The 12,150-nt window shown below is 44.2% G+C and overlaps 1 protein-coding gene across 2 annotated transcripts in view, besides 4 other annotated features; it reads left to right on the top strand.

Moving 5' to 3' along the window:
* Nucleotides 406–605: an enhancer, noted in NCBI's record as "active region_11178". NCBI's record gives its function as "activates an Ori minimal core promoter by ATAC-STARR-seq in GM12878 lymphoblastoid cells {active_cell/tissue: GM12878}" and the evidence as "EXISTENCE:reporter gene assay evidence [ECO:0000049][PMID:35858748]".
* GAN (gigaxonin) overlaps nucleotides 569–12,150 on the top strand; it is a 75,848-nt gene continuing 64,266 nt past the window's right edge. For both annotated transcript variants that reach the window (NM_022041.4, NM_001377486.1), the window contains exon 1: nucleotides 569–887. In NM_022041.4, coding sequence (NP_071324.1) covers nucleotides 721–887 — 167 coding nt within the window. In that variant the 5' untranslated portion in view covers nucleotides 569–720. The remainder of the gene's footprint in view (nucleotides 888–12,150) is intronic.
* Nucleotides 616–955: a silencer, noted in NCBI's record as "silent region_7753". NCBI's record gives its function as "represses an Ori minimal core promoter by ATAC-STARR-seq in GM12878 lymphoblastoid cells {active_cell/tissue: GM12878}" and the evidence as "EXISTENCE:reporter gene assay evidence [ECO:0000049][PMID:35858748]".
* Nucleotides 1,096–1,155: a silencer, noted in NCBI's record as "silent region_7754". NCBI's record gives its function as "represses an Ori minimal core promoter by ATAC-STARR-seq in GM12878 lymphoblastoid cells {active_cell/tissue: GM12878}" and the evidence as "EXISTENCE:reporter gene assay evidence [ECO:0000049][PMID:35858748]".
* Nucleotides 1,176–1,445: a silencer, noted in NCBI's record as "silent region_7755". NCBI's record gives its function as "represses an Ori minimal core promoter by ATAC-STARR-seq in GM12878 lymphoblastoid cells {active_cell/tissue: GM12878}" and the evidence as "EXISTENCE:reporter gene assay evidence [ECO:0000049][PMID:35858748]".

The raw sequence follows: 12,150 nt of genomic DNA on the forward strand, positions 1-12,150 counted from the left end.
CCTGCAAAATTTAAGGCCTCCTTCGGACTTCTCCAGCTTCATCTGCTACATCTCCTTCCTAGCCCGCAACCAAAACCATCTTTTCCGGGTCTGTTTTCTCGGGTTTTTGTCCTCTCACCTGGGCAGCTCCTTTTCTCTCATAAATAAAGAAAGCTACAGCGACTTCGCCCTTGCTTCCATGCATCATCTCATGAGTCCACAACAACACTAAGAATTCGCTTTCATTTTGCAGACGGAGAAACTGAGGATGGGCACCTTACCCATGGCCACAGAGCTAGTAAGTGGAACAGCTGCAACCAGGATTCAAACTCGCGGCTCCAGAGGCCACAGGCTTAACCACGGAATCCTAGCCCGCCCGCACATCCCTCCATCGCGGGAGCGACCTATCTCATCCGTAGACACCTTCCGCTGCACCCAGCCGCAGCTGGTCAGGCGGGCGGAGGAAGGAGGCTTCTGATTGGCCATCTCCAGCAGCGGAGGCGAGAAGGCGGGGAGCGACGGTGCGGGGGCGTCGCGGAGAAATGACTTCATGACGCGGCTTCTTAAAGGCGCCGGCCCAGCGCGCCGCGGATAGCACAGGCACGTCCCGGGGGCTCCAGCTTCTGCTCAGAGCGCGGAGAGCCGGGCCGGGCGGGCGCGCGCGCAGGACTCGGGCCGCTCGAGGGGTCCGGCCGGACGGTGTCGGGAGCCGGACCCGTCGGCAGAGGAGCGGGCGCCGCGATGGCTGAGGGCAGTGCCGTGTCTGACCCTCAGCACGCCGCGCGTCTGCTGCGAGCGCTCAGCTCTTTCCGCGAGGAGTCTCGCTTCTGCGACGCGCACCTGGTCCTCGACGGGGAGGAGATCCCGGTGCAGAAGAACATCCTGGCGGCGGCCAGCCCGTACATCAGGTGGGGAGGGGGCTACGGCGGGCGGGCGCGGCGGTGCTGCCCGGAGCCGGAGGCGGGGCGGCCGGGCCGGGCGTGGCCCCCAGACCCTGTCCCCTGTCCCCGGCGCCGGGGTCCCCGCGTCACCGTTGGCGCGGCGTCCCTCCCGGCAAGCGCCGGAACCCGGCCCCGCTGACCGCGTCCCCCAGGCGGCCTCTGTGGCTTCCAGGCCCGCGCTCCCCACTGGACCCCCGCGCCCCTTGGAGTTGTCCCCGGACCCGGGCCGCGATCCCCCGCCTTGTCCCTCCCGGTTCCCACCGCCGCGGCGAGCGCCCGACCTCGGAGACCCTGAGGCCCCCAGACGCCGTCCTGGGCCGGCCGGGACCCGCACCTGCGGGCTGGGCGAGGCCGCGCCGGGGAAGAGTCACCCCCTCGCCCAGGCCGGGCCCGCGGTCCCCGCTGAAGTTCGCCAGTCGCTCGCCTCTGAATCCACGCGCGGGGGCTGGGCCGGCGCCGCCAACCAGGCGGGGAGCGCCCTGCCCGCTGGGAGGCCAGACAGACAGCGCCTCGCTGGGTGCAGGCAGAGAAAACCCTCTCGATGTTCTCCTTGGGTTGGTAGTCCGAACCTCCGGGCGAAATTCTCCTTGCCAAACGTGTCTTTTCCGCTCCATTCTGGTAACTGTTTAAAAGAGGAGTTACACGTTGAAGTAAACTGTAGCGAATTCTCAGGATGCTGTTACAACCCGAGGACCGTGAGAGCCTTGCGACAAAGGGCATTTTAATACTTTAGTAAAGCAAAGCTTAACCTGATTTGCCAACTCAACTAACCAGGTTAATTAAAAGGTTGATAAGACAGTGCTTATACAAGTGTATCAGATCTTGCAGGAGACTATCTTTTCTTTTAGCAACCTTCTTGCAAACTAGGTTGCTGTTTTAATAAAAGGAAAGGGGGGAATGCTAAAAACTGGAGAAACTGACCAGTAAGCTGGTTAAATATAAGCTAGTGGTAGAGAATATCACTACAATTGACAGGTCAGAAAAAGCAAAATGATGTGTATTCTTAGCGCTTTGTCCCAGCAAAACCACCACGCACGCTACACTTTTAACCTTTGCATTGGGGAGATATCTGTGCTAAACTTAGAAGAAATTCAAGTGCCCTTGTAACTTCTGGTTTCTCTTGGATTTGTTTTGTGAATCCATTTGCGCTCTTTGGCGGTGGGGAGTGTGGAGGGGTGGGGGGGCGGGGCGGCAGTAGGGTCTGGGGTAGCATCGTTAGTACAGAATTTGGATTGCTAATGTGACAGACAGCTTCTAGCTGGCAGTTCCGAGGTTTGAGCAACCCATCCCAAATTGGAGTCAGCAGACCAAAGTCTTCCCTGTTTGGGAAAATGCTGAAGAAAACTACTTTAGATGCATTATTGTTATAGTTCTTTAAATGGCATCCGTTTGGCTTAAAAGAAGTAAATTGCAAATTGCCGAATCCTTGCTTGTTATCCTTGTTCGTTTTTCTCCATAGCACTTACCACTTTGACGTACCCCATATTTTACACATTTACTTTGGTGGTCTTTCCCAACCACAGTGTGACCTCAATGAGGTCGTGGTGTTTTGTTTTGTTTTTCGAGACTGAGTTTCACTCTTTAGCCCAGGCTAGAGTGCAGTGGCGTGATCTCGGCCCACTGCAACCTCCGCCTTCCAGTTTCAAGCGATTCTCCTGCCTCAGCCTCCCGAGTAGCTGGGATTACAAACGCCCGCCACCACGCCCGGATAATTTTTGTATTTTTAGTAGAGTCGGGGTTTTACCATGTTGGCCAGGCTGGTCTCGAACTCCTCACCTCGTGATCCGCCCACCTCGGCCTCCCAAAGTGCTGGGATTACAGGCGTGAGCCGTGGCACCCGGCGGTGTTTTCTTTTATTCACTGCTTTACTCTTTGCACCCAGAAAGAACTGTGCCTATCAGTTAATGTATTGAATGAATGACTGCCTTTCTTTCTACCACAGCAAATGTGTACATTAGAAAATTGGCACCATCACATTTTCATAGTACACAGACGCTCAGTTATACCTAATTGAGAAACGCACTGGATTCAGAGTTTGAAGACCCGCTTTGTGCTTCCAGCTTTTACTCATATTAGCTGTGAGTTGCTGGTAGATGACAAGGCTTCAGCTCACTAATCTGATGAATGAGGGATAAAAATGAGTCTTCTCATTTAATCACACCTGTGAAGAAATACGTAATAGTGTTGACACCTCATAGGTCTGTTCCCATGTCTTCAAAGGTAGTACCCATTGAATTAGGAAATATCTGTAGTCCGGTTCTTTCACTTTCTAAATAAGAAAATAGGGGCTCAGTGGACATTAGTGACTTGTGTTATGAGGTTATTAGTACTTAATGGTTGAACTAGGATTAGACTCCAAATTAATTACGGCTAACCGCCTTCCTACTCTTGCCCTACCACGTTAGAGCATTACTTGTATTTCACCGTTCTCTTTGTGTAAACTTTACTGTTAGCTGGCTTACAATATCTTAGAATTAAAATGTTTATCAAGCACTTTTACATACTGTGTCATTTTGGTTTCCATTTTCAATCATCTTTAAAGAGAAGGCAGATTTTTTTTTTTTATGTTTTGTGGATAAACATGAATCAGTCAATATGTGTTTCATCAGTGACAGATGAATTGCTTTAAGTTTATTTGGCTATTGAAGTGATAGAATGTCTTGGGATGTTTTTAAAAATTATCAATTCCGAAGCTGTTTCAAAGTAATTTGACGAATCTGTATCACTAACTAGAAAGAAATTTGTTAATTTTGTATTTTTACTGGTAATTTTAATACCAATAATATTGGGCTTTTATAATGTACTTGTTTGTTTGAATAGCACTTTAGAGAATTATATTGAAACAAAATATATTTATGTATTCTAGAACTTGATGTTTCTTATCTTTCCCTTTTGAAACTTAAGCATTTAGATCTGTGATATCATTAATCTGTGAATTGAATGTTCAAAAGTTTGGTAATCTCTGAAGTTTTATAAAATTCTGATTTTGTTTAATGTCTGTGTTTGGCCTAGTGTTGGTAACTGTCATAAGTGGTTGTGTGATTGTGTGGTTTAGAAGCAGTGGTATGGCCTGGCATGGTAGCTCACACCTGTAATCCTAGCACTGTGAGAGGTGGAGGCGGGAGGATCGTTTGAGGTCAGGAGTTCGAGACTAGCCTGGGCAACATAGTGAGACCCAGTCTGTACAATAATAAATCATGTATATAAAAAATAGGAGCAGTATTGTCTTTTGCTTACTATGTGCCCAACAAAGGAAGCCAGTCCAACTCTGTCACACTGGGAATTAAAGTAACTTGTTTGGCATACTTTCTACTTAATATAGAAAAGTCTTTTGACTTATTGGTTTAATCTTTTATTCTGCTTTATCTTTGGTCTAGCCCTTGTTTTTCCTGCTGACACCCTTAGCAATCCTACCATATTAGAAAGATTTTAAATATAAAAGGAAAAGGCCAGAAAACTCAGCTTTGGCAACACACCCTCATGGTCAGCTCAGAGAGGACTGGCATCCCCGGGTTATGTAGAGAGAGCACGTGTCATGCAGCCCTAGGGTGCAGCTGCTCCAGGAAGGAGGCAGGACCTCCTGCGGTCCCTCAGCTCAGTAAATGGCATGCATGCCCCTTTCCCAGCATGCTCCTTTCCCAAAGCTTTTCCTCCTTTTGGTTCCTGGGTGAGATTTTCTCTTTGGTTTGTTGGGGAAACTAAACCTAAAAGTAGTTGACAGGCTGGGCGCAGTGGCTCATGGCTGTAATTACAGCACTTCGGGAGGCTGAGGCGGGAGGATCCCTTGACCCCGGGAGTTCCAGGATGCAGTGAGCTATGACTGCCACTGCACTGCAGCCTGCCTGGGTGACAGAGACCCTGTCTCTTAAATTAAAAAAAAAATAGATATAGATTATATATATATATATATATCTAACAACCTTTCTAAGAATGGCAAAACCGAATTCATAGTCATAAGCACCCACAGAGCCTTTTCTTTCTCATCAACTCTGAGACCTTCTGGGGAAAGCTCCCTGCGGCTTGCAGGAAATTTATTTTTCTTTTGAATATTACAGTTTGGTCTGCTTCATGTCTGAGGCTCTTCCGATTCTGGCACAGTCCCATTGATCTGATGCAAAGTTCAGACCCATTTCTCTCCTGAGCTGTGGTTCTTGGTGAGTAATGTATGTGAAAAGGATTTGAAAATGAACGGCTATGTGCTTCTGCAGTGACATTATGGTGGCTCTGTACAGGTTTCCAGTCCTGTGATCACTTGTAAAATTTAGGGTTTTCTGGAGACCTATTGCAACAAAAGTTTGTTTAGCTCTCAGTCCTGGAGAGAAAATGAAAAAAAAGATTCCTAAGATTTTTAGATCCTTTGATGAGTCAGCTAAGAATGTAAGTGGCTTCCCCCCGACCCCCCCTTATTTTTTGAGAGAAGGCAGGTCTAGTGAGGATAGAATGAGACATAGGGCCTCAAATCCAGCCTAGGTCATCATGAGCGACTTTTCTGGGCTCTAGCTTCCTTATCTGTGAAGTGAGGTGGTTGGGCTACATGGACAGCAAATCCCCTTTAAGTCTAAGTTATGTAGCTCTATGCTATTTTTGTTTTGCCTCATGTGTATGTGTTGTGAGGAGGAGGACCTGTTTCTGTTTTTATAGCTTTATTGTGTCATTTAAAGTTTTGTTTTATGTTAATATTAAAGCATTTCCATTCCCCTGTCATACAGGACTTTATTGGGTATTCTGTTGTATAAATCCAGGCCTGTAGAGTTGTATCACAACAATCATTTATTTTATGCTGTTAATCTGGGTATGTTCCAAGGCCTAATTATTGATGAGCCTGTTTTGCCATTTAAATATAAAGTTTGACTCACAGATGATACTGATGAAACTACTTAAGGAGACTAATAGGATCTCTGTAGGAGGTCCAAGTTTCATAGTAACATAGACATTATTTTTTGAATATCTGAAACATACACTGTAGTTTAATGTCACATGGGCACTAAAGTCCGTGAGTACTATGTGGTGTGTGCAGAGCCTGCTTTTCATCCCCAGTTTACTTTTGTTGATTAATTTATGTGAATAACTGCATAGCCTCTTATTAGATTCTTTGCTTCCCTGTTAATGCTGAGAATACACTCCCGAGGCAGCAGTATCCACTAAGTGTTCCCTGGTAATGAGAGTCTGGCTGTGAAGCAAAGTGATTTCACAGTAATGTTCAGTTAATAATGTTTTGCTTTCTTTACAATATTTTCATAATCTTTTCTTCACTTGTGTTTCGAGTTTATAGTCTTCATAGCAGCTCCCGAATGATTGTCATAAGGATCTTGAATAGTGATTGTAGCCTGTGAAGTTTCTTAGTGCTCAGGGGTTCAGTTAGAAGCTCCAGTTTCTGAGTATCTTTTGAAATCCTGAGCACACTTAAAATAAAATTGACATTACCTGTTCCTTGTACTCTTATGGTGATGGAAAATAAGCTGGGCTTGAGTCTCTTTTAAGGGATCTAGACTTTGTTTTTATCTACTTACTATAAGGCGTTCCTAACAACTGCTCAGAAGATGAAATTTGTCCAGAAGGTCTTGATAGTTTAATGGTTCTCAGTGATTTTCCTTTTCTTTTTTTTTTCCTTTTTTCTTTTTTGTAATCACAACCTTGTTTGATTAAACCCTATTCTTACTGAGTTTTTCAAAAGCGATAATAACTATGTTCAGTTTCAGAAGATCAAAGACATATTTTATCCAGGCTTCTAAGGAAACTAAGCACTTGTAAATTTCAATTTAACACAGATTACTCATGTCAGTTTAAAGATATTTGTTTATTTTATATAACACAGTGGTTGCCACTATTAGTAGCAGTAGATGTTCTAATTCTGGAGAGGTTTTTGGAAGGTTTCAAATGATGAAACAAATCAACAAAATTCTTGTTAGACTAGTGTCTGTAGCATAGAGGGAAGTGTGGGGTGTTCAGATTTATCGTAGAACTTTCCCGAGGATTGTTATTATGAGTAATAGTAATGTGATAGGAGTAAAACCTAGCTCTGGTTAATTTTCTCTAGTGGATAAGTCCTCACTCTTTTACCTATACTGTTTTTACTTCTGCCTCTTCTTATAGTTTGCATTTTCTCCTGTGATGTCTCCTTCAATGTTCTTAAATTAGTTTTTGTTATATAATTTAGGATTGAAGTAAAATGCTCTTCCACATAGAAACTCTGGTTCCTTAGGATTTATATTTGGATGATATAGAGTAAGCATCCAGTTTTCAAAACCGCCTTATCCATTGTTTAAAGTGTTAATGAGTTCTTATGATATCAAAGTGGGACTTAAAATCTATTTATAATTTGTAAGGAAAACATAATTAGGACAAATAAGGGTTCATTTGGTCTGTGAGTGCCATGCAATAAGTTCTTCACAGGGTTGCATCATCCTTCTGAAAGACACAAGACTATCATTTTGTGTACTAAAGCTGTAATATAAATGAATGATTTGTGAGTTTGAATTCTGGGTTAAGGGTGGAGATACGGGGGTGTGAGATGTGACACGTGGCAGGCTATGGTTGCGACCTTGCATTTGAGCGCTTCCCATGGGTTCTCTTCCTCCTAAGCCACAACAAATCCAAAGAAGGAAGGAAATCAAAGGCTCAGGTAAAGGTGGCAGCTCTGGCTCTGTGGAGGATAAAGATTCTATGTCCATCTAGATGGCCCGACACTCTACCAGAGTTCCTGATTCTGGTGCTTGGAAGAGCAGAGTTAAATCATCTTCCTAAGTACTTAGGGCCAAAGAGTGACTTAGCCATAGAATGATGGTCAGATGTTTGCTGCATTCATTTCTCTCTGGGAATGTGAATGCCCTAATTTCTCATAAAGATTATTACAGAAATACTGCAAAATAGAAATACGTAGTACTTTGCCATTTGCTATTATAGTGAAGGGATTTGGACTTTTCCTCTGTTCAAATAAGTTAGAAAAATGGAATACTTAGGTAAATAAGATCTTGGTGAAATATTTTGTTGGTTATCTCCAGTGTTCACCACATGCAGAGGAGATAAGACATCTCAGCAGCGGCTAGGTACTAGCAAGATGGTGGCAACCAACTGGCAAGGCCTTTGCCCTTCTGGAGCCTCCATTTCAATAGAGTAAGGCTTAGAGGGCCAATGCGTATCATAAATGGAAGATAGGAGGACTAGTTTTTAAAAGTTGACTGTTGAATAATGAAATACAGACCAATTAAATATCTTTGGGGTTTATTTGGATTTGAGTTTTTATAGAAACTTAAATGTATATTTTTGCTCGTAGATATTTTGTGGTTCTCTCAACTACAAAGTTGTTTATGTTTTTAAGAACAATTTTAAAGACCATTTGATGCTTGTGATTTTTATGGTAACATATTAATATGACTAGATATATTTTGAAACATAGTTTTATGGTCCTATTAGCATTCATCAGTAACCAGTTGCCTACACCTCTGAATAATAGTAAATGGTTTAGTATTACTGAGCTCAAAATATTTGCACTTTTGTCACTTAAATTGTTTATATTGATCAGTCCCTGAATTGTAAGAAACTTCATACTGAAACCTCACATTTAGGCTGTGAGTTTGATATGAGTCTTTTCTAACCCACAGAGAACATTCACTAGAAATGAAGCCAGAAGTTTAAGGACAGCGGGATTTTGAAGGACAATGAAAATCCTTAGAAAGTTCCCTGATATTCGTGTTTGCCATTCTCCTCTCCATGCTACAGCCCCCAGTCTACTTCAGTGATGGAGCTGGAGGCCAGCAGGACCCATTGGTTAATTGTATAGTCTTCCATTTGGTTAGTCCAGGGAATAGTTTCCCACAACTTCTAGCTTCTCTTCCTTACATGAAAGTTGGTACAGGGATTTGACACTTAGTATAACAGATAAGAGACTTCTCTCGGGGTTTTTGGTGGGTTTGTTTGTTCTCCTGCTTGGCCTCCTTAACAGCTACTGTCTTGTGCGACCAAAGCTATCAACTTTGTTCCCCGCCTAAAAATTACAATGCCTGCTGTTGGTAGGAAAGGAATAGACATCTCATTTTTATCACCCCCTGAGTGGGGTGCTTGAGCAAAAGAGGTTACCATTTCCTTTATTTATAGGCTTCTTTCATAGTGATCAGAAAAGGGGTTATGAAAATATTCACTGTCATAATAAGTCTTGGGACATCCTTAAGAAATGTCATCACTGCCTTAACCCATATGCTGTGGGGTTGTGTTTACCAATAATAGATTGCAGTTCAAGAATTAGCATTGTCTAAAGTTATTGAGATATACTGTGTATTGTTTCTTCACAGATATATTTCACAGTAAAGGGACCTTCTATATAATTAGGGTGTTGTTTAGGGAGTTGATTACAGGTTTAGTCGTTTAATACATACACAGGAGATAACTCAAGACATCTCAGCAGCATCTATGTACTGGCAAGATGGTGGCAACGAACTGACAAGGCCACTGTCCTCCTGGAGCCTCCATTTCAGTCATTTACAGAGGATTGCGCCCTCCAGGACTCCATCCTCTTGTGCTGCCTGCCATTGGAGCATTGTATTCAGTGGCCTCCCACAGAGAGTATCAAAACTAACCCAGTATGTGGAGACCTATGTCAGTCTATTTATTTTTCTATCTCTGTGGGGCTGGAGAAGGAAATAAACATAAAACTAAAGATTTAAAGATTACTTTTGATTTCACTTAGTTTTTTTATAACATCCTTGTGTTATGGGTAGTTTCAGAATCTCAAGAATGAGCAGAGAATAGATTTGCTGTGTTTATCAGAGTAGAAACTTCTGATAGTCTGCCCTAAAAGAATTTAATTGGCTGATTTGACCCTTTATTATTATAGTGTTACCCCAATTAATCACATTTACAGAAATGACTTTCTTTAAGTAGAGAACATCAGTTCTTGGCTAAGCCTCTCTAATATGCCCGTTTGTTCATTGCCCTTTCTAGACGGAGTGCCAGCATCCATGGGGGCTACCTGGGGAGGTGAGCAGTAAAGGGGTCTAATTACAGAGCCATATGAGTTTGCCGAAGGAAGTCCACAGAGGATGAGCATGGCTGCTGCTGTGGCCTGGGTGACGGGATCCCTGCTCCGAGGTGGTGCCATTGAAACTGAGATCTGAGGGAGGAGGAGACCTAGGCATGAGAAGAGCAGGGGGAGGCACCAGGATCAGGGGTGGCACCAGGACTAGGTCAGGCCTCTCTGGGAACAGAACACCACATACCTGGAGATGGTGAGCAAAGGGTGGGATGGCATCGACAACAGATTAGAGGCTGGGAAGGCCTGTGATCCCTGAGTTAGAGCTGGCATTTAGACTGCTTCCAAAGAAGATGAAACTTCTGCTGCCATGTTGTGTATTGGGAGCTGGCTGGGGAGGTGATAGGATATGAGAAAGGGACAAAAAAGCAATTGATGGCATAGTTGAGTCTGATAGAGAGTTTAGGCTTTATCTTACGGGCTATGGATGGGCAGTGGTGTATTTTAAAAGAGGAATATTTGTTTGTGTATTGTTTTAAAGTCACTCCAATGCAGTGCTGCTGGGTGTGCTCTATAAAAGCCAAGAGTGGAACCAGCGGCCGTTTCAGCAGGTGCTGCAGTTGTTCAGATGGAAAGTGGGATGCCCTGGGCCAGGTTTGGCAGTGGAGGCGGACACAGCAGCTGGATTACAGACATTTGGCACCAGGACATGTTGATGAGGAAAAGGGCAGACCAGGGATGACTCGCAGCCAGGGATGGCTCCCAGGCAGGGATGGCTCCCAGGCACGGATGCTCCCAGGCATGCTGTTGGCTTCTTCATCGTCACCAACAGATGATGTTCATCACACTTACAGTAGGCATTAAAGTCAGGACAGTTTAGGAAGACTAGTGAAATACAGAGCTTACTCTCAAGTTTTACAGCTTAGTTGTGAAAAAACAAAGTATAGAACAAAAGCTATTTTAATTTTACAGATACTTCTAGCTGTAGGAATTGCGAGGGGAAGAACTACTTGGGCGATCACATATGGAGGAAATGGTATTTGAACAAAGCCTTGGAGAGGATGAGTAGGAGTTGGGTGGGTGAAAGGGGACAGCAGGGCCATTGAGGCAGAACAAAGGATAAATGCAGGAACATCAGGCTTGTGTTTGGGGTAGTGAATAGGAACAGTGGCTGGGAGGAAGGTAAGACATATTCTAGCATGCCGGGTTATTGGTTTAGATTTTTACTTTATCATCAGTTGCTAATCATTAAAGACTAGTACCATACTGAAGCCCTACTTTAAGAAGGCATTTAGTTGCTGTGTATCTACAGGACCAGGAAGGGATGAACATGGAGCTACTAGACCAATTGAGAGCAGCGCACTGGGACAGTGTCCTAGGCATCAAGATGGTGGTGGGTCTCCAGAATTAAGGAGGAAATCAACTGGATGCTAATTGAACATGAGAACTAAGAATGAAGAAAAAAGAAGAGATAACAGTTTTGAGCCTGGCTGCCTAGGGAAAGTGGGGAAGACAACAGTCTGTCTTAAATGTGTTGAATTTGAATTAACATTGCTGTTTAAACACCTTAATTATATTCTTCTAGCCCTTGACAGCTCTGCAGAGTACTTCACCTGTCTGTGAATATGTTTTGCTTTCTGCATGTGTTTCTTGTCTCTCTGCCTTTCTTGACTTCCTACTCTTGCTTGCAGATAATTTCATATTCATCCTTCAAGGCCTGGTTCAAGTATCCCTTCCTCTGTAAGATTTTTCCAACTCTGCCAAATAATCACTCCCTCCAGCAGACTCCTTTAGTTCATGGTGTGTGCCTTCAGCAAGGAGTGCATCATCGCCTCATTTAGTGTGGAAAACCAGTAGACATATGGAGTGGGTGATTTTAAAGCCCATCATCTTTTTTGTCCAGGGCCAGGGGCACTCAGTCCGTAAGCAGAACTTTCATACGTAAGATAATTGAGTTGGTTGGGTGCCGTGGCTCAAGCCTATAATCCCAGCACTTTGGGAGGCTGAAGCGGGCAGATCACCTGAGGTTGGGAGTTCGAGACTAGCCTGACCAACGTGGAGAAACACCATCTCTACTAAAAATACAAAAAAAAAAAAAAAAAAAATTAGCCAGATGTGGTGGCACATGCCTGTAATCCCAGCTACTCGGGAGGCTGAGGCAGGAGAATTGTTTGAACCCGGGAGGCGGAGGTTGCGAGGAGACGAGATCGCGCCATTGCGCTCTAGCCTGGGCAACAAGAGTGAAACTCCGTCTCAAAAAAAAAG

This window comes from Homo sapiens, chromosome 16 (assembly GCF_000001405.40).
Source record: "Homo sapiens chromosome 16, GRCh38.p14 Primary Assembly".
Taxonomy (NCBI): Eukaryota; Metazoa; Chordata; class Mammalia; order Primates; family Hominidae; genus Homo; species Homo sapiens.